This window comes from Homo sapiens, chromosome 5 (assembly GCF_000001405.40).
Source record: "Homo sapiens chromosome 5, GRCh38.p14 Primary Assembly".
In the NCBI taxonomy this organism is placed as follows: Eukaryota; Metazoa; Chordata; class Mammalia; order Primates; family Hominidae; genus Homo; species Homo sapiens.
The window spans coordinates 35920542-35942517 of NC_000005.10; the positions used below are offsets into that span (position 1 = coordinate 35920542).

The 21976-nt window shown below is 42.5% G+C and overlaps 1 protein-coding gene and 1 long non-coding RNA gene across 5 annotated transcripts in view, besides 3 other annotated features; one reads left to right on the top strand and one right to left on the bottom strand.

The window, feature by feature from the left end:
• Window positions 1-18238, bottom strand: part of CAPSL (calcyphosine like) — a 34492-nt gene extending 16254 nt beyond the window's left edge. For 2 of the 4 annotated variants that reach the window (XM_006714444.4, XM_006714445.4), the window contains exons 1-2: window positions 18013-18081; window positions 443-579 (exon numbers count right to left, since the gene is read on the bottom strand). In XM_006714444.4, the coding sequence (XP_006714507.1) occupies window positions 443-579; window positions 18013-18063 (188 nt within the window). In that variant the 5' untranslated portion in view covers window positions 18064-18081. Of the gene's footprint in view, window positions 1-442; window positions 580-17999; window positions 18082-18111 lie in introns of those variants that run through there. The other 2 variants (NM_144647.4, NM_001042625.2) reach the window with 2 other exon arrangements.
• Window positions 4386-4680: a silencer, noted in NCBI's record as "tiled region #7574; HepG2 Repressive DNase unmatched - State 12:CtcfO, and K562 Repressive non-DNase unmatched - State 12:CtcfO". NCBI's record gives its function as "represses a minimal TATA promoter and a strong SV40 promoter by Sharpr-MPRA in HepG2 cells, with weaker repression in K562 cells {active_cell/tissue: HepG2 | K562}" and the evidence as "EXISTENCE:reporter gene assay evidence [ECO:0000049][PMID:27701403]".
• Window positions 5878-5927: an enhancer, noted in NCBI's record as "active region_22473". NCBI's record gives its function as "activates an Ori minimal core promoter by ATAC-STARR-seq in GM12878 lymphoblastoid cells {active_cell/tissue: GM12878}" and the evidence as "EXISTENCE:reporter gene assay evidence [ECO:0000049][PMID:35858748]".
• Window positions 6018-6097: an enhancer, noted in NCBI's record as "active region_22474". NCBI's record gives its function as "activates an Ori minimal core promoter by ATAC-STARR-seq in GM12878 lymphoblastoid cells {active_cell/tissue: GM12878}" and the evidence as "EXISTENCE:reporter gene assay evidence [ECO:0000049][PMID:35858748]".
• A 21-nt stretch (window positions 18239-18259) lies between the features above and the next one.
• Window positions 18260-19452, top strand: CAPSL-DT (CAPSL divergent transcript). The gene is made up of 2 exons (NR_104630.1): window positions 18260-18383; window positions 19182-19452. It is a non-coding gene; the product is annotated as a CAPSL divergent transcript (long non-coding RNA).
• The last annotated feature ends 2524 nt before the right edge of the window (window positions 19453-21976 follow it).

Sequence of the window (21976 nt, forward strand, 5' to 3'; positions counted from 1 at the left end):
AGCAATACCAGTGTCCCTGGAAGTGATGGAGAAATGATTGCCCGAGAGCAAAATTCCAAATTCTGCAATTAGGGCTAACTGGCTGTTCCTTCCTCCCTCTTCCACCCTGGCCTTTATTATCACAGCTGCAGAGAGAGTCCCTCTCATTGTCCTGGTAGGCATCTCCATGCCAGGGCACATGCTGCTTCTCCCTTTACCTCATATTTTCCCAGAGCTGCACTGTCTTGTAGCAGATATGAGTCTTGCCGAATCTGGGACTAAGATCCAAAAACTGTCACAAGGGACCTCATAGATCAACTCTTCTAAACTCTACATTTTACAAATAAGGAACTGAGCCCCTAGGAGGAGATGACTTCCCCAAGACCACGTGGCCAACATTAGCCTCACCTGGCAGAGTCATTCCTTCCCGCTCCATTCCCTGCCACTTGTAGCTGGGTCCTACCTGCCAAGTCCTTTGATCCCAGCAGAGCCCCTGGCCAGGCACTGCAGTCGGAGTCTTTCAATGGGGTCGGTGGCCGTGGTGAGCTTTTTCTTGGCCTGGATCGCCATCTCTCGGTCATGGCGCGCTGTCCCTGCCATCTGAGGGGAAGCCATAGCATGTTAGCAAAGTCCAGGCCTCGCCGCTGCCTCTGGCTGGGCAGAGTGACAGAAGCCTCACTGAGAAGGAAATTTACAGCCTTCTCTGTCAGGAAACCTCTCAGAATTTCCAATTTTTCTCTATGCCAACTGTGTGCCTGGCATATTTATAACTTACTTATCTAGTCCTGAGGACATCTGGTTTCTCCAGCCTAGACAATAATCTTAAATATATCACCATTTCCCAAGATGTTTTGATCTTTCTGAAGCCCTCTTCCATCCATAAAAGAAGTGCAATTTCTCTATACTCTCTTTTTTGAACCAACATTATATACCATATTATTTTATGTAGAATTTTCCATATTCCCTTGACCCTCACATTTAATGTTCTCCTCTTTGGTCTAAACATTGATTTTGTTGCTTCTGTCTTGAATGAGATTTTCAGCACTTGATCCTTAATGATTCTTACCAGTAATGGGTATGGTCTCCTTGATTCACAGGTTAGTATCCACTAACACCTAATGAGGTTCTTAGGATGGGTGCAGTGAAGTGCTGTCTCCTGAGTGGTCCCCAAGGGACGTACAAACTCTTGTAGCCACACTTGAGCTCTCAAAGCTTGCACAACAGTGGGAAGAGCACTTAGCTGGGGGCCTGGAGACCTGGGTTATAGTCCTGACTCTTCAATCCCCACCCCTCAACTCCCCCAACCCCTCACCCCCATCTGCCTGGTAACCTGCCTGTGAGTGAATCTCACAGCCTGTTTCCTCCTCTTTTAACTGGGAGGATTGGATAAGATGGTCTTTAAATTCCATCCCAGCTTCAAAAAACACTAATTCTCATAAGTCCACATATTCAGTAAATGGGGGATTCTGGAAGTTACCTGTGAGTCGTGAATGAAAAGAATGAGAGGCAAGAGGCTCGAAGGATGTGCAAAGGACAGCATGCAATGTGCAGAAAAAAAAAAAAAAACGGTATTAGAATGTGGTTCCACCCTGGCTTCGAGGCTCCCTCCCCAGTCAAATTCTGGCACTTCCCCTAAGTGCTACATTAGGACTGAATTATTTTCATCAAAGACAGCAACCTGCAGATTCACAACCTCGTCTATGCCAAGAGTGTTGTTCTCCTATACACCCTGAAAGGTCTCCCATAGAGGGTACTCCTTATTTGACTTTTGGGAAAGGGAATCTCATCAAGCCAATAACTGAGGCCAGAATAGACAATTCAGGGATGCATACACTTAACGTGGCCACTTTCTTGCAGCCTCCACCGAGCCAAGGTACAGGATCCCTCTTTCTTGCCCTGTATTCAGATTCCCAGTATGTGGATGAAGGTGGGAGCAATTCCTTTCAGTTCTCTTGAACCTCGGGTCAAGAAGGAGACCTGTCTACGTCCCAGCTCTTTACTCCACATTAGGAAAAACTTGCTCTGTCTAAAGCTACACAGTCTTCCTCTGCTTCCACTGGCACCTAAGCAGAGGTTCCCTGGAACTCCAGACGGTGGCACACCCTGCGCTTAGAGACTTCCATCTCCGTTCTTGCCAGGCACACACAAGGAGCATGTTCCAATTCTCATCCAACAGGGACACCTGCAGCCAAGACTGTGCCCTTCCTGGCAGCTTTAGCTTTCTAATAACTGGCGTTTGCTTATTACTATTTTGTTACCTGACCTCAAGCTGACAATTCCCAGAGCTCGTTCCCAGCTTCAGCACTAACTGTCCCCTTATTAACAGCCAGAATCCTGAGTCACAGACAAGACCACCAATTCACTCATCTAGCCATGTCCTGCTGTCTTACTCATCCTTGCCTGAGCCATTCTCTTGCCCTGACCATATTCTGCTAGTGGCATGCGCCCCATCCCCACCCCAACCCCTATGGAAGCAGGAACTGGTGTCAACAACATGCCCTTCTCATTCTCTAAACCCACCTCAGAGTCTTGATCCTTCCCAGGACCACCATCATCTTTCCTGACCCTTGACCTTGCTTCATGATACTTGCCCAATGGCTGTCCCCAGCCACTCACCTCCCATTCTCATTTCCCATGACATCTCCCCTACCTTGTCCACCTTATTCATTTTGCTCTGGTTTTTCCCTGCCATCCATGACAGTAAGTGAGAATGAAGAGAAACAGAGACTAAAAACCAGTCATGGAGAGAAAGTGAGATCCAGCTCCTGGATCTGGGACAGATCCCCAGTGGGACCCTCTTTGCACACCTTCAGAATAATATTAAAGGCATCAGTGGTGCCCCCACTAGGTAGTAAGCATGTGTCCAGTTCCCACAAAAACCCCTTGAGTTGAACTGAAAACAGGAACTCAAACAAATGCACATATACCCATGTTTATAGCAGCATTATTCACAACAGCCAAAAGGTAGAAACAAACCAAATGTCCACCTATGGATAAAGGGATAAGCAAATTGTGGTATAGCCATACAGTGAAACATTCTTCAGCCATAAAAAGGAACACAGTACTGATAGATACCACAATGTGGACAAACCTTGGCCATGTTATGCTAAGTACAAGAAGCCAGACACAAAATGTCACACATTGTACGATTTCATTTATGTGAAATATTCAGAATAGGCAAATTCATAGAGACAGAAAGCAAATTAATGGTTGCAAGGGGCTGGGGTGGGAGGGCCAGTGGGGAGTGACTGCTTAATGAATGTAAAGTTTCCTTCAGGGGTAATAAAAATGTTTTGGAACTTGACATAGACGGTGGTTTATCAACATTGTGAATGTAATATACACTTTAAAATTGCTAATTTATGTTATGTGTATTCATCTCAATAAAATAAAACCCATGCACAGATGTTACTAGCTAGATTTAGTCATTCCACAATTATACATACTTCAAAACATCATGTTATACAAAGTAAATACATACAACTTTATCTGTCAATTTAAAAAAAAAATTTAAAGTGTGCTGGGCACGTAGTCATCCTGGTAAATTAGCAAAGGTTAAAAAAGAAAAACAAGCCTATGAGCTAGTTACTACTATTATTGGTATTTCACAGATAAAGAAATTAGGATGCAGAGAAATCAGGTAACTTGCCCAAGTCGCACGGAAACATGACTCACAGTAATCCACATGCTGTTAGAACTGTATGACCCTTGAAGATTCTCTAGTGCAACCTCATTTTGCAAACTTGGAAACTAAGGCTTGGGTTGGCAAAGTGACTTGCTCAAAAGTCCTGGCCAAGACCAAAACAGACGGCTTCTGATTCCTAAGGGCTCTTTCTGCTTCATCATGTTTGTGGTTTGTGAAATAACATATAAGAATCTCAAAGCACAGTTTGATGGTGCTTTCTCATAGGAAAGTGGGATCGAGTCCAGGAAGGCAAGAAACTGCCAGCCCAGTACCTCAGGCTGTCCCACCTCTTGAGGCTGACCCTACCCAGCGATGATGTTGGCAGTTTATTTCTGGAGTCTAATAAATTCAAGGGGAAAAAAGTCCATTCTCTCCTGCTAGCCTACCGTGAAACTTGAAATGCCCATAGTAAGCATCCCTTTTAATCATTGAATCACCCAGTTCACCAACCACTAGCTAACTGTATTGTGTACTCTTTTCGAGGCACTATGCTGGAATAGAGTGTGGGAGTGTGAGGAATTACTCAGAGGAGCAAGCCCTTGAATAGCCTAGAGTCTTCATTAGTTTGAATCCTGATCTCCTGTATTTAAGCAGAAGGGAAAAGTTTATTAAGCACCGGGGCTTTTAAGGAAGGCAGGATTGCACAGGATCTCAAGTGCATAAGGGAGATGCTCAGCTTTGAAGTTTCAATAAAGGCGCCAGGCACCAGGGCAAGAGTCAGTCCCCAAACATATGTCACCGACTTCATAGCAGTGCACAAAGTGTCTCTGCCTGTAGAAGACTCTGTCTGAACCTTAAAGATCCGGTGTGGTGACAACGGAGCGCATCCCTGTGCAAGGCGAAGAGGCTGCGCTCCCGACGCACTTGGCCGCAGCGCCACCACGTGTTCTCAGGCGTCTGCACATTCCCCCGGCCAGGCATGCGGTTCAGTCTCTGCCTTCCACACAGGTCTGCTAAGAGCTCAGGAAGCGCCATGCACTGTGCTAGGGGTAGGATGAAAGCAGGACCAAGACAACGCTTACAGCCTGGGGGCTGAGCAGGGGATGCAATCACAAGAGGACGGGAGGCTTACCTGGCCTGGGAGTGGGGCTTTCTGAGGACCTCTCAGAGGAGGTGATGTCTAAACTTTCATCCTAATGGAAGGTGGTAGTTATCGAGGCTGGGGACGTGGGGATAGAAGGATATTTTAGATAGCAGGTGTACCAACTACTCAGACTAAGGTGAGAGAGAAAACAATATAATTAGGAAAGTACAAGTATTTCAGTATGGTTGGAGAACAGAGGTATGGGTGGCAGGGGGAGATGAACAGTAGTGAAGATTCGGAGGAAGTAGGGAAAGGGGAATTGTGGGTAAAGATGAAACTGACCAGGCGGGCAGCCATCAGATCCCAAAGAGCCTGGGGTGCCAGGGTGGGATTTGGATTTTCTCCTGAGAGCAACAGGAGACCGCAAAGTTTTCTTAAAAAGGGAAAAATTCTTCTTAAAAAAGGAAAAAGTCTTCTTAAAAGGGGAAGAAGTCTTCTTAAAAAACAGGAGACCACAAAAAAGGGAAAAAGTCTTCTTAAAAAACAGGAGACCACAAAGTCTTCTGGCCGGGCGCGGTGGCTTACGCCTGTAATCCTAGCACTTTGGGAGGCAGAGACGGGCGGATCACCTGAGGTCAGGAGTTCAAGACCAGCCTGGCCAACATGGTGAAACTCCGTCTCTACCAATATACAAAAATTAGCCGGTCATGATGGCGGTTGCCTGTAATCCCAGCTACTCGGGAGGCTGAGGCAGGAGAATCGCTTGAACCCAGGAGACGGTGGTTACAGTGAGCCAAGATCGCGCCACTGCACTCCAGCCTGGGCGGCTGAGCTAGACTCCGTCTCAAAAAAAAAAAAAAAAAAACGAAAAAACGGGAAAGGCCGTTTGCATTGTAAAGTGAGAAGAATGGATAGGAAGGCGGGACAGGCTAGCCAATAGGAGACTGTTGTTTCCAGCTATGCTGCCTGGACCGTGTGGACGGAGAGAGAAGAAGAGATAGGAGATGGCCAGTGGCAGAACGTGCAGTTTGAGGGAGAGGGCGGACTCGGGGCTGGCATCCAGAGCTGTTGCTTGCGCTCTCCACTCTCACCCTCCAGTGGCTGGCAGCAAGGGAGGATATTCACAGAAGCCTGGAGATTTGGGGCAGAGGCAGAGTGTAGCTACGGTAGCAATGGTCCCATTAAGGCTGTCTCATTCCACTGTCCTCCCGGTGCACAACCAACTGCCACGCCAAACTCTCTCCCGCCTGGATTTTGCGAATTATTGTAGGAAGGATGTGGAAAGCTGTAAATGCATGGGGTCTGTATCTTCATGGTTCCCTCCGTAAGGTTCAGAGACAGATTTAAGAGGACCCTTGGAAGAGGGAACTGCTCTAGCCCTAGCCTGCATCTATTGACTTGTCTTTGGTGCTCCCTGGTGGCAGTAAGCTGAATTACATCTCTCTTCCTTTCTCTGTTCCTCTCCATCTGCAGCCAACTACCTGCAAACACAGAAGGGGATCTTATTGCTAAAGAGGCAACCCTAGAGATCGTTGATCCAGACACTATAAGGCACCAACGCTTTTACATCCTCTTTGTTGCAAAATCCAATGGAAACTTCTCACCTCACCCTCAGGAAACTCTCCCTCCTTTGACTTCTCTGACCGTACATTCCTGGTTTTCCTTTTTCAGGGAAAAGACCGTTCCTTGAAAGGGAACCGAAGCAGGTTTAGTCAGCTCGGATGAACTTAAGAGAAGAGCAGGGTTAGCCTGCGTTAAAGTGGAGAGGGAAGGACAGAATCAGGTAAATAGAAAGGGACAGCAAATGTGGTGTAGATGACAGAGGCGAGATGTGCTTGAGGAGGGGAAAGGAGGCTTCCCCGCTGGCAGGGATGTGCAGTCGCGATGGCTGGACCAGATTTTGCCTGGACAGTCTTCCTTTGCACCACACTGCTTGAGACAGCACGTACTGTGAGGAAGCTGTCCTGTTGAGGAAGTCCTGCAGGTCCAGCCTTGTGACAACAGCAGCCGTCTGCAGTCCAATTGTTCCGAGCCTCTGTCCCACCTCTTGATGCTGTTAAGCCCATTTTCCCCATAGCCAGACCATGTCATGATTTTTAACATTTTTAGGCATTTCTGTAATTCTTAGATACCTGTGCCATTACATTAGCTATTTTCAATAGCAAGGAACCTGGGGTTGCTATAATGATTCCATGTGCTTTGAAAACATTTTACTATGGGGAGAGAAGAAAGGAGAAAGGTATACAGTAGGCAGCTGTTGATGAGGCTTGTAGGGCATCAAGCTAGTTCCGAGAAGGTGGAAAACATTTGCCTTCTTTTAAATTCTCATCCAAGACAAAACATTCCCTATTTCTTCTAGCTCGGGCTTGATCCTGAGCACTGAGACCAGTCCCCCATAGGGATGGGGAACTTGATGTGGCTTTTGCTCTTTATCTCTGTACTTGGAAACTGGGTATAAGATTGAAATTTTGATTAAGACTTGGTGGACCTTTCAATACTTGAAATGTCATCCAGGTATGAGAAGAGATATACAACAGACCATGTCTGAAGGCAATTAATGGAAAAAATTAAACCATCTGCACTGGCTTTAGTCCATTCAATAAACTAGCTATTACTACACGGTAGATGGCAAAAACCCATAGTTCCTCAATAAGTTTCCCCTTGGAAAATGCCCTTCTAAAATAAATATTGCATTCCAGAGGTCTTAGTACAGTTGTGCTGCTAGAACAAAATACCATAGATGGGGTAATTTATAAACAAGAGAAATTTATTTCTCATTGTTTTGGAGGATGGGAAGTTCAAGATCAAGGTATCAGCTGATTTGGTGCCTGGCAAGGACTATTCTCTCGGCCTTTCAGATGGTACCTTGAACTATGGATCCTCCAGAGGGGATAAATGCTGTGTCTTCACATGGCAGAAGAGATGGAAGGGCAAAAAAGGGCTCAATAATTTGCAAAGCGACTTTTATTAACACCTTAATTTCATTCAGGAGGGATGAGTCCTTGTGACCTAACCAACTCCTGAAGACCACACCACTTAATACTATTGTATTGTGGATTCAGTTTCAACATGAATTTCAAACATTCAAACCATAGCACTAGGTGTTGAGTATAGCCTAGCAGGCGGCTAGGAAGTGAATAAATAGTGATGTCCTCCCGAAGAGACTGAAATTGAAGACTCTGACAGTTTGAATACGTGGCTTCTGCAGTACACAGAAGCCTCAGATAAGAGTGTGTGTCAGTGTTGTTGACATCGTGAGAGTTACTTCACGGAGCCCATTTGAGTTTGAATCAACTGAATGTGCCCTTAGTACCACAAGCTATGCAAGGCACTGTGCTAACTCTTCAGGTGATAATTATAGAGAAGTGCTTCTCAACTGGGTACAATCCCCCCCACCCCCAGGAGACATTTGATAATGCCTCCTGTGAGATATTTTTGGTTGTTGCAATGGAAGTAGGGTAGAGTGTTATTGGCATCTAATGGGTAGAGGCCAGGGATGCTGCTACACATTCTGCACAAGATACACAAGATGGCCCCTGGCAACAAAGAATTACCAGTCAGAGATGTCCGCAGTGCTGAAGTTGAGAAGCCCTGATATAGAGAAAGACCTGGGACCACCGTGGGTGCTGTTGAAAAACAAAGATGCCCACAGCACTCACCAAGCACAGTAAATTAGACTCTCTTGGTGTAGATGCTGCGGCTGGGCACTTTATTGTTTTTAGTTGGTTTTCCTGTATCCCTAAGTTTGAGAACATAAGCTACGGGAAATACAAGGTCACCCTCTAGTAAGAGGAGTAAGGCCTTATTATAACACAACACAGGGCAAGATAAAGGCATGAAGAGAAGAGGTAGTAAATACAGTTGTAACTATGCTGGGGGCCAAGTCCTTGTCTAAGGACTTTACATATATCCACACATTGCCTCATGTGGTGGATTCTATCAAATACTACTGCCCTATTACAGGAAGTCAGCAGAGACCTGAAGAACCCAGGTTACTTGTCTGAGAATGCGCTACCAGGGAGTAGCAGAGCCAGGGTTGAAAACAGTTCCTTTTTTTTTTTTTTTTTTTTTCTGAAACAGAGTCTCGCTCTGTTGCCCAGGCTGGAGTACAGTGGTGCGTTCTCAGCTCACTGCAACCTTGCAATCTCCGCCTCCCGGGTTCAAGCAATCCTCCTGCCTCAGCCTCCCGAGTAGCTAGGAATACAGGCACCTGCCACCACACCCAGCTGATTTTTGTATTTTTAGTAGAGATGGGGTTTCACCATGTTGGCCAGGCTGGTCTCGAACTCCTGACCTCATGATCCACCCACCTTGGCCTCACAATGCTGGGATTACAGGCGTAAGCCACCACGCCCGGCCTTGAAAACAGTTCTAAGTCACTGCATTCAACAGTTACACCATGATGTTGCTTAAAACCGATAAATTGCTTTGGGGACTCAGAGAAGGTCCATGAAGTAAGAGATGCAGGAAGGGAAAAGCTTCAGGGAAAAGAATGCTTTGGAGTGCTGCTAGATTTCATACCAGCAGAGAGTGAGGACCGGAGTGCAGAGCAAATCTGGGCCACTCACAGTCCCTAAACATGACCCCTTCTCCCATCTTAGGTCCTTGCTTGGGTTTTCAAATCCTTAAGGCTCAGTGTAAATACCTTATGGTTAAGAAGAAAAATTTTACTTAGCCTCTTCCTCTTGCAGCAGCTATTTTTTTCTGTTTGTTTTAATTAAAATGATGTGTGAGGGTTTTTAAATCAAACTCAAAACTTCTGCACTGATTATCTTTTATACCATTTACTATTTTCCCACAATTTATTTTAAAAACTTTTTCTAAAATGTATGAATATATGAAACATCTGGTTTTTGTTTGGATTGTCAACTTCCACATACCACATAAAGTATGACGGCATTTCATCTACACTTAAGTGACATAGCATACTGTGGAAATAAGATGTCACCGAAGTCTGGCATCTTACCACATTTTCTCTGTATCAGAATACATTTTCTCGAAATGCTTAAAATGCATGTTGCAGCCACTCTCAATAGGCAGGTTTGTGTAGAGCCCATTTATGCTAAACCATAGTCTTTACTTCTTTCTATTGAGCTTTGAGATGTGAATTCAGTCCTTATTTTAATGTTTGTGATATGGTACATTTTAAAAATAATATTTTATAAATATCATTGTGATAAAGTGTTTACTTCATACATATTCATATTTCACTTTATTCACTGAACCAGGGTTGGGGCTAGGGCTAAGTAAGAGAAAGGCACAATGTTTAAAGAGGCACACAGTCTCAGAATCGTGCAAATGTCAACCATACACTTGCCCAAGCCTGAGAATGATTGTCTCCTTAAATGGTGCACCCTAAACACCTACCTTGCCCCACTCTAGTCTTGGTTCTGCATTAATGCATGTTTATTAAACACCTATTATGTGCCATACAAGAGGAACGGATGAGACAGCCAAGCTTCCAACCCTTGGAAGTTTACATTCCTAGAAGTAGTTTTAACTTGATTAAATTTGAATTACAGCTAATTTTTTAGACACTGCCACCTGGTTGAGACAAAGTCATTCTATTTCCCTTTTTCTCTGCCCTATTCCACTTTCTACTGGGTAGGCACAGGAACCAGTTCTAGCCAAAGGGACCCAAAGGAAAGTGCTGAGAGCTCTGGAATATCTCTCTCATCTCTTTTGCCTTCCTTGTGCCTTGAGTGAGGATGTGATGTCCAGAGCTATGCCAGCCTCTATGCAATCATGAGGGAAGGGCCAAGGGAATCATATCCATGCCAACTTAGAGCCCTGACATCATCGAGCTGCTGAACTAATGTTGGCAACTTCTTGACTTCACGATCCTGTCTTGTAAGAAACATAATCTCTTTGTATTATCTGTTTAATCTGTTGTTGGTCAGGTCTTCAGTCACTTGCTGTCAAAAATATTCCTAACTGATACAGACGGCAAAAAGCTTATTCCTGCAATGTTTGGGCTGACCCTAAATATTGACCTTTAGCTGGGTAAAATAACTAGCAATCCAATGTGAGAAGAGACTCAACTACCCCTGAGACTCATGAGGAGAGAGAAAGTCACTCTATTATAACCTCTTCTCTCAGTAGAATTTTGTCAAGTAACAGCCTCTCCAGCACTTTTGACTATGAAAGAGAGCAAAATAAACAGCTTAGCATAATATTCAAGAACCCATGTAACTGACACAATGTGTTACAAAAAAAAAAAAACAAGGTTTAATAAAATACAGAGGCCCCAAGGTTGTAGGGTCCTTGTCATAATAAGCATCCACTGGGAATGTCAGGGGGCATTCACTCTCCTAATAGCTCTCTCCTTGCTGTCTTCTCCATCTTGCTTTTTTTCCCTTTGCTGTGCCTTGAGTCTCTGGGGTTTTTACAAAGAAATAACTTACAATGTATTCTGAGTTAGGTCAACCTGCTCGATGCAACATCTTAAAGAAACAGAGTAAGAAGCTACCTAAACTATGCAAAGGTAAGCAAAGAGTTAGCTGAATTGCAATATAGAGAAATAAATAAATAAAACCAAGACAAAAGAAAAGTAAAACTTCGGTTGGTTTCAGTGTTTATGTGCTTAAGACCAACCAGGTAGCTTTCAAATATTCCATTTTTGCCATGAAGTCATGACCTCAGACAATTGTTTCAAACCCACTGCAAGGACAAAGCCCAACTGGTACATCTTCTATCACCCTTTTAGATGCAAGTAAAGACACAGCTCTGGTGGACATTTGCCCTTTTGCAGCCATTAGTCATGAAAATCACTTAGTAACTATCTTGCAGTCCCTTAGAATGAATGCTTCTTTTGGAGTCATTTGTCTATTTTAATGTTTATTTTATGGCCACCTAGAAATCTAGTCAATTATTTGTATCCTAGTTGTTCTTAACTGATACTTCCAGAAAACCAAAAAGTGTTAAGGGATAGAAATCCAATGTCATAGTGCCAACATCAGCGTAAATCAGTGTATCAGTTATAAATTGTGTCCAGCGACTCATAATAGAAACAGGTCATATCTCTGAAAATGATAGAGATTTACTTTACTCTCATGTAAAAGAAGACTGGAAGTGCTTCAAGTAGTCATCAATGTTTCCAGACTCTACTCAAAGTTACCTAAAGATACATAATATTCCTACATAATAGCCATAGCAGCTCCAGCTATTATCTCCACACTCCAAGCAAAAGAAAAGAAAAAGGGCAAAAGGCAAGAAGGATGCTCTTCCCAGCGAAATCAGCTCTTTCTGAAGTGGTTCCCAGAAGATTCACCCAATTCCTTCTATGTAAATCTTATCAGCCACTCCAAAGGAGTCTGGGAAACCTGATTTTTGGCTGAATAATTTGCCACCCCTAAGGTTCTGTTTATAAAAAAGAAGACAGTGGCTATTGAGTAGGCACCTTACAGTTTCTGCCTCAGTTGGCAGAAGAAATATTGTTATTCCAGAAAGTAAGAGTGTGAGCATGTCTAAATCAGCTTATTTCACAAAACTATGTGGAGCATGAAGCTTTCTAAACATATGGAGCAACCGGATCACTCTGATGCAGAAGACTAAGGAAAGCCCTAAGGGCAGACGTCAACACATTGATGATTTTTCCCTTTTCACCTCTGTTCACCCAAACCAAATAAGGCTCACTTTTCCACGGGCAGTTATGAAGGATGCCCTCAGTGCAGGCAAACATAACCTAAAATAATCTAGGCCTGGGACATCAGACCACACCAAATGGACCAAATTTGGCCCTCCACCTGGTTTTGTAAATAACATTTTACTGGAAAACAACCACATACGTGTATTTCTATATGGTCTGTGGCGGCTTTCACATTACAACTCAAAAGTTAAATAGTTGCATCATAGACCTTCTGGCCCATGAAACCTAAATTTCCTACTCTCTGGCCTTATATAGAAACACTTTGCTGACCTCCGGGACTATGCAAAAGATAAGAACAACAGTAATAGGAAACATTTACTGCACACTTACTCTGTCCCATGTTCTCTGCTAAAAGGGTGGCCTGTGTTTTGCAAGTTTTTCAAAGTCAGTTTGTTTAGAGCAGAAAATTTGTCTGGTATAAAATAAGTCTTGATAACAATTCTTATAGGTTACAGACATAGCTATATCCACTTTTTACAAAATAAGGAAACTGAGGTACAGAGAGATTTGGAGGTTGTCTCAGTTCACAAATTGGTAGAAAAACCAAGATTCTGAGCAGGGCCTGTTGCATCTGCCAGTCCCCCAGCAGCCTTTTGTAAATTATCCACAACATCTCAGAAAATGTTCATTTTTTAAACAGGAAACCCCTGTGGTCACCACAGGGCACTCATTTATAAAAACTGGGTCAAGCTTATTAGCAATATTGAGTCCAAAGCACACTAAGTAAGAAGGACTGATGCTGTTTGTTACTGAAGAGCATTTGCCTGCTCCTCCCTCGGTGTGAAGAACTCCTGTCCAAGCTAGAGGGGTAACTGCAGAGGGGACACACACTAAGCAGAACTTCCAAAGAAAGTAAGAAGAGCTGTCATCCACCTCTCAACAGAGAACTGTCCTGCTCTCTCAAACTACACTTTTTAGTTTGGGAAATTTTAATTCTATTTGACTTCAGGTTACAAGAAAATATACAAGAATTTTAAAACTATTCTCAGACTGCAGGAAAAACAAGATGCTGAGTGGCAATGGAATTATGGCTAAAAATGTGGGAGACAATCTGCTCTAAAGAATATCATAAATTGAACAAGTGTTCATGGGATTGAGAATCCCGTGAGAAGCCAACACGTGGCCATTTCTACAGTTCAGTGTCTTGTAATGCCATCTTCTCCCAAATGCCATTCTGTTGACTTCTGAAATATAGAAAACTGCTCTTGTGAACCTTGATATGTTTTCTTTATACAAAGCTGTCTGATATCAGAATAAAGAGCAACATGTTACAAGGAAAATTCTTATTTCATTCATCCAGAGATTAAAGCAATGGTTGAAGCCAAAAGTGTTATTCCACGAGCTAAACACTCCCACTCCTTGCTCTTGAGCACCTCACCACCACCTCCACAAGTTACAGCAGACGTTGGCCCTCTTGGGACCAAGCATACCTTCCATCCAGACACCCAGATTTTCCTCTATTCCTTATTCAATTATAAGCCTCCTCATCTTGATCAACTTCTGAACAGCAATCGTCACTGCTGAGCTGAATATTGTTTGCCTGTGTGCTTCTCCTGATCCATTCCCCACCCACATCTGTGCTACAAGAGGTCGACCTCCATAAACTGTGTTAACCACACTTCCTTGCTTGCTGGCTTCCAGCTGGATTCCACCACTGGGAGGCATCAGTAGAAGATCAGAGGAGAGGAGGAGATAGAGGCTGGAGTATTTATTTCCCCAGCTTCCTTTCTGCCAAGCCACAGTTTTTCAGTGACCATATCCTTCACCAAAGGCAGCCCTCCCTACAGAAATGCTTTGATTGAGATATGAAAACCACTCCTCCTTTTGCCCCTTTAAGGCTATGGGTAACACCTTTCTTGTCCCTTCTGACTGTGGCATTGCTGGGTGTCTCATTATGCTTTCTCTATATTCCTTATTCCTACCCACACTTCTGTGAATTGTCCTTCATTAAACTCTTTTCTGTTACTACCTTTGAATGTGCCATCAATTTCCTGCCAAGACACTGATTGGTACAATATCTTTATCCTGGATGGTATCTGATTTTGCATAAGGAAACCTACCCCTCTTGCAGTCTTCTCAGATGAAAGCACCTCTTACCCCAAATTCTAAGTATTAAGGAACCTCACAGATTTTAAGATGCACCCTGTCACCTCCACATCATGACCTATATCCACATCCTTCTTTGAAGCACAGCCTAGCTGGACAAACTTCCTATGTTTCTCTTTGGTTCTGTCAGTTTATAAATCACTGACACTCTGAATGTTGCCTCAGAGATGTACTCTCCATTTCAAGTGGTGTCATCAATCTGGGAAAACCCAGAGCTCATCTAGACAATCCATCCAACAGGCAGCTATGAAGTTCCTGGAGCTCCTTGATTTCTACCAACTCAACTCCATCTGTTTGTTGTCTCGGCATTCCCTCCCAACCAAATCTGGTCTCCTCTGAAAGTCCAAACTTCTTTTTTTTTTTTTCTGAGACAGGGTCTCACTCTGTTGCCCAGGCTGGAGCGCAGTGGTGTCATCATAGCTCACTGCAGCCTCAATCTCCTGGGCACAAGTGATCCTCCCACCGAAACCTCCCGAGTAGCTAGGACTACAGGTGCACACCACAATACCCAACTAATTTTTTCTTATTTTTAGTAGAGACAGGATCTTGCTATGTTGCCCAGGCTGGTCTTGAACTCCTAAGCTCAAGCAATCCTCCCACCTTGGCCTTCCAAAATGCTGAGATTACAGACATGAGCCACGGTGCCCAGACTGAAAGTTCAAAATTCAAGATTGACTTTATCTGCAGTGTTCAGTTCCATTATTCCAACTTGCTTCTGACCTTATGGTACCTCCAGACTTTTGGCCCTACATTTTCACCCCAGCCATTACCTACCTCATTCTCCCTTCTGGATCTACTTCCTTTCTTATCCATTTTACACACTCTGCGCATCTTTCTGACCATCTGGTACCAGTGCCTCCCTTCTTGACCCTCATTTTTCAACCTCCCACCATCTCAGAATAATAGCTAACTTGGTTCAATTTGCCCATGTTCCATGTACTTAACGGCAGACTGAAGTGCAGCTGAATAAACCCACATGCCAGCATGGACAGGTGTCACTGTATTTATTCTTTAACCACAGCTAGGCCTTCTGCAACACACAACTCAACTTTTATATGATGTTGGTCAGGTTCTTATTCCAGTCTCCTCAGAGGCTAATCCAAACTTTTGCCACTCCAGACCTTGCCTTGAAAGACCCAGAAAAAAATGGAACCACCAGTTATGAACAAATTCACATCATCCTCCTCCAAATCTATAAAAGTATAGCGCTCTAAGGGCATCCTGACTTCATCCTCCCTCCTCCCTCCTCCAAGAGATTGCTGAACTTCCTCCCATCTAAGGATGCCCTCTCTACCTGCAACACAGAGGCCTACCCCTCTAAGATTCTCAGCCATCAGTTATGCCCTTTTCCTCCTCTCCAGCAGCTCCTTCTTTTAGTTCATGAATCCGCTGTGGTCCCTCAGTCCTGGACTCCCTCTAGCTATCACCCCTCAAAGTCAAACTATTTTAAAGAATTTCCAGATTTTCTACTTTCTCATGCCCCATTCATACTTCGGTCCATTTCAATATGGTCTTCACCCTGTCATTCCAACAAATATACTCTTCAATAAGTCATTGCTAACCTGATTGCCAACTTCAACAGTCATTAGCCCTTAGTTCACTTCTCCAACTAGTTGACTATTGGTCATTCTTCCTTTTTAACACCCTTTCTCTCAATGGCTATAAATCTAACTCCCTGTCTCTCCTCCTCCCTCTTGGATCTGTCCTATTTTGTTTCTTCCTTGTCTTCACCTGCTTCTTAAGTGCTGTTTCTCAGGCTTCAGTTATCTTTCTCTTCTCACTATTCCACTATCTTATGGCAATCTCAGTCATATCCCCTGATACAATGATGACTAACAAATCTTTATTCCAATGTAGGCACTCTCTGGAGCCAGATTTCTCACAAAACATGTGCACTTGGATGACCTACAGACACTTTCAGTTTAATGTTCCAGAGCCAAATTCATTACCTATCTTCCTTACTCTTTGCTTCAGGAAACAGCAATACCATTTACCTGGGTCATTAACTGACCATTATCCTAGACTCTTCCTAACCCTTTACATCCAAATAGCAGCTAAGTCCTATAGAGTTTCACTACCTTGACACATCCCGCATTTCCATTCCCTCATCTCCATTGCCATGGATACTGACTCAGCCTAGGACATGGTCACTTCTCATTTCCACCATTGCAAATGTCTCCTAGTTGGTTTCCTGCCCCTAGCTTTGCCCTCTGTACTTTGTCTTTCAAAAGACTGAGCAATCTTTAGAAAATGAAAACATGAACTTCATGATATAGTTTAAGACCCTTTGATGGTCCCCCATTGCATACAGGTAAAATGAAAGTTCTTAGCATTGAATTCATGCATTGGCCTTTCCTATGTCTCCAGCCATTTCTAGTAATTCTCCATCCGTTCAAAATCTATCCTGCATCTCTACTCACTCACATTCCCCAAACACACCATAGCATTCTGTATCTCTGTGCCTTTGTACATGTAGTCACACTTGCAGGTACACCTTCTTTTTCCTGTTGGCCCAGAGAAGTCCCACCCATCCTTCCATGATCATGTGGTGAAGTCCAAATAGCATTCACATTGCAAGACAATGTAATTCGTTTTCGAATTACTTGCCCTGCTAGACAGACTATAAGGTCCTTACGAGGTAGAGCTGTATCCTTTGCATTTACTATCACCATATCATCAGGGCTTAGCAGGAGGCTATTTTATTGCTATTAGAATTTATCATTGTCATTGCTATTGGGTAATTTTTATCAGAATATAAATACAAATGTATGCCTGAAATTCAAATCTCAATATTTAAAACTTTCAATAACAAAATAGATTTTTGTGGTTGTAGGATTTGAGGAAAAAATAAGTCAAAAAAAAAAAACAGGTAAGAATTTCATCTACTTAATATGGTTTAAATACTCCCCAGACTGAAGGCAATAGAGATGGCTGCCTGGGTCATTGGTGTTGTCCTTTAATGAGAACGTAAAGGACCCCCTCAAGTCTCTGATGAATCAAATCAACTATTTGATATAATTTTGAACAAGCCATGTATGTACACTTTAATAAGCATCCTGATTTTTATTCTGATTCTCAGTTGTCAGTGTATAGCAGAAATAGCATAAGTTTAAGTATCAGACAAAGCAAGGTCTGAATGAAAGTTGAAATGTTTTATTGCTTTGTGACTTGGAAATGCTGAACCTCCCTGAAGCTCAGTTTTATCAGTGGTCATCAGGATCGTTAGAGCAATTCACCCAAACCCTTCACACTCAAATACCTAGTACCTAATGACTGCTCAGTAATGTTTACTTCCTTCCCCTTTACTGAATGAAATTTATTTTTGTGCATTTTTATCTAAGCATTTTTTTTGCAAAGATTACAAAAATCTTTCCCAGTACCAAGCTCTTTCCTCTTGCACTGACAGCCTAGTGATGGCTTCTCTAGTCCAAGAACTCTCAAAAGACTTTTAGATTTTCTTTTTAGAGAGTAACATCTACTGTCTTCTTTTCTCAGCTAAGACATACCAAGAAAAAAAAAAACATTAAATCATAGAATAGATAAAAACATTGATTTACCTTAAATGCTAACCTTTTGCCACCAGTTGCTTCGAACTGAAACTATGGACGCTGTCTCCTGCATCTAGGAAAACTGGTCCCTCCCAAGCCACCTTAGCCTCCTCCCTCTTACCTGTCTTCCTCAGGGGCCCTGGTCCACTCTCTTAGTATTAATTGGAGGACCTGGGATCACTGCTGCAGATTCACAGCCTGATTGGCTCAGCTCACTGTCAATCTCTACTCTGGTTCTGCCTTTTCTCAAGTTTACACTCCTGTTGCCTAGGAAATCTCAGTGACTGTGAAAGCTCAAGCCATTTGCACTGGGAGAGAAGCCAGCCAGAAGTTTTGCTGGCAATGGTTTGGTTTCTAGAACAGCATCAAAACTTGTCTCCCATGTTTTGTAAGGTAGTATTCAGCACATTGTCTTCTTTCTTTTAGGCAGCACCTTCCTGTCCTTCTGTAGTCCCCAGAAAGCTTACTGCTAGGGTGCCTCATTGCCAGGTGATACTTAAAACCACAACTCTTGGGAGCAGGCAGGGGTAATTATAGGTGATTCAAGGTTCTCCCTCCTTCTCTGCATTTGCAGAGGATGTCATTTCTGCTGTTTTCATCCTTGGTTTCTTCTCTTCTTTTCTCTTTTTGTTTCTTTTTACTTATGTTTTTCACATGTTCCCTAGCAGTTACTTTGCCAGATAAGAAGAAATCTAGTGGCTTATTTGGAGGAAAATATCTACACTATGCTCTCTTTCATTGTGTATCTATGACATCCACCCTATCCTTGTCATTCCCACTCCTGCACGTCCTGCTTTCAGGAGCAGGCAGGTATAATTAGTGGTGATTCAGACCTTACACCTCTCTCTTTCTCTCTCTCTCTCTGACACACACACACACACACACACACACACACACACACACACACACACACATCTCTGTATATAACATAATCCTGGCTGTGTGCAACATCCTTGCAGTATAAGAACTCACAAAACGGAATAGATGCCAGGCACCCAGCTCTGCAGACTACTAGGCAAGTTCTTTCATGGATTTGACAAGGGCTTGGGTCCTTTGCTATATCTGCAGGGAGTATACATAGTAGCTATTTCATCCTTTTATCTGAATTGTCTGAAGAATTGTCCCAGAATTAAGCAATTAGAACTGTGGTTCTTCCAGGGCAACCTCAGATGTCTAATGTTTTCTTTTCAGTGGTTTAACCCACAAGATATCACGCATTTGAAACTTTTAAGAAGAAACTTAATTTCATCTGTGAATGCAGAAGCAAATATGAGGGCATGGGCATTTAAATATGAAGTATTTCTTGAAAGCCACCTACTGGAGAGTAAGTTTGGTGCAATAATTTAAGAAAAGATAAAAAAGAAACAGGAAAATTGGGACAACGGACAGCATGATGGAGCCACCGTGCAAGCCCTCAATAGTCTGCCTCCAGGTTGTGTCAAATAAAGTAAAAAGAACAAAATCTCTGGAGTACTTAAGCAATGCTTTTGCTTGTTTCCACTGCTAGCAACTGGTGTAATTCCAAGGGTTTTACCAGTTCAAAAAACTGGATCTGGGTTTGTGGTATTGGGTTTCTGACAATCAATATAAAATATTGATTATATTTTAAGGCATAAGTACTCTTTCCAGTGGTAAAGAAGACAATGATAGTCTATGGTGTAATACGGTAAAAAGATTTGTAAAATATTACTACTGGATTCCTAATCAAATATTCATAAATGGCAAATCTCTAGGTAATCATGATAGCTTAAAATATTTTAGTCAAACTAATAAATGTAATGAGGATGACTGCTTGTAACTGTGGTAGACAAAGTAAAGAAAAATGATGAACTCAGGGCTTGAAATTCCAAGTTCAAGCTCCACATAAATGATCTGAAACCTTCTATGTCTTCCTGGAGGAACGTACTTATCTCCCATTGTCATCAGCCTGAGGTTTCAGAAAATCAAATCTGGAGTCTCATCCTGAGAGTGGCAGAATTACAGTGCAAATTGAATTCCCAACCAGGCAAAGTATCTTCTGCTAAACTGAGGGAATTGATTAGGAAGGAATGAGATTCTGAAAATCGGAATGAAACCTGTAGGGTAGATCCTGATGAAGCTGAGGACACTTAACCTCTAAATTCTCCTGCATCTTCTTTGCCAGTAGGAGCAACCCTGCTATTCATGTCTGAGAAGGTTCATCCTGATTTTTCAAAGGAAAGTGTACTAGCACCTCTGAGGTATTTTAACTGGAAGACACTGCTGATTATCCTCAGAACCTACTTCCACCAAACCTCTTGGCTTGTAGAACTATATCATCTATATCTATATCTATATCTATATCTATCTATATCTATATCTATCTATATCTATATCTATAAATAAGACTCTAGTCCCAACAGGCTTGAAAGAGAGATTAAAATTGCGAACCAATGGGAGACATACTACATTCCAAAAGTAATGCGTATTTTTTCAATTTATACAGACAGAAATCTGGTGAATACATGTGAGAATGTAAGTTAATAGTGTGAAATAATGGTAGAAGGAACATAAAGTTGACTCAAGGTGAATTTATTGATACAGGCCCACAAAGCACAAATTCTCAATATAGAGTTGCAGCTCGATGGGTTTGGTTGAGTTAAGGATGAAACAAAGGGTGGCCTACGCTAAATGAAGCTGAAATACCAGAATTACCTTGGGACACTGAAGAGGAAGGTATCTAAAGGCTTAGGGAGACTGAAATGTTGGACTGGATTTATCACGCAAGACCTGATTACTAAGGGAAATTGAGTTGCTACTACACATTGATGTAAAGAGTAAGCCTTAAAAGGAACAAAATCATGTGATTTGCAGGGACACGGATGGAGCTGGAAGCCATCCTCAGCAAACTAATGCAGGAACAGAAAACCAAATACTACATGTTCTCACTTATAAATAGGAGCTGAATAATAAGAACACATGAACACTCGGAGGGGAACAACACACACTGGGGCCTGTCACAGGGTGTGGGGAGAGGAGGGAGAGGATCAGGAAGAATAGCTAATGGATGCTGGGCTCAATACCTAGGTGATGGGAGGATCTGTGCAGCAAACCACCATGGCACACATTTACCTGTGTAACAAACCTGCACATATACCCCAGAACATAAAATAAAAGTTGGAAAAAGAGTAGCGAATACTATGTTTTCATCTTCTTTGTAGCACTTGTCACAGCTGCAATCATTTCGTTGGTTTACTGTTATAGGTCATTAAAAAGAAGAGTAAGCCTGGAATAAAGGAACTCTGTTAACACATCACTAATTATGCCCATGCCCTTTTATTAAAGTCAACAAAAAATCTACAATAACCCAATTCAGTAAGGAAAACTAATAACCCCAACTCTTCAAGAATGAATATTTGGGTCCCCTTCCCAATCAGGCAAAAAGTCAATTGCGGTACTTGCTGAGGGCAAAGGTATATGAAATACAAATGCTAGCTATCACCATATGATCAGTTGCAAAAGGATTGTAAATGTTTTGAGTATTTACCTTGTATTTTGTTATGAATTTGTGTGTGTAGAATACTATCGTATTCTTCTCACTTTATCTCCTTAAAATCTAATATATTACTTCACAGTATTTATGTTACAGAATATCAAGAATAAGAGTGAACATCACCCAAGGACCTCCACTCTGGGGAAGAGTTAGTATATTCCCAGTATGCTATAGAAGAGTTGTATAAAACTGTGTTTTTTGACATATGCCATTGTACCTAGTTATTAAATCAAAACCTAATCTATGTGTTGCTCTTATGTTATTTTTTAGACGTGATTAATATCTGCAATAAGTTTCTTTGAAGATATTCTGCCTCAGGACTGGAATATCAGTTCCCACCCAAGAGTTTCCAGCCTGCTGGCCTGCTCTACAGATTTCAGATTGCCAACTCTTAAAATTCCAAAATCATTTATGCCAATTCCTTGAAAAAAAAAGGTACCTTACTGCTCTGTTTTAATGAGGAACCCTGACTGAT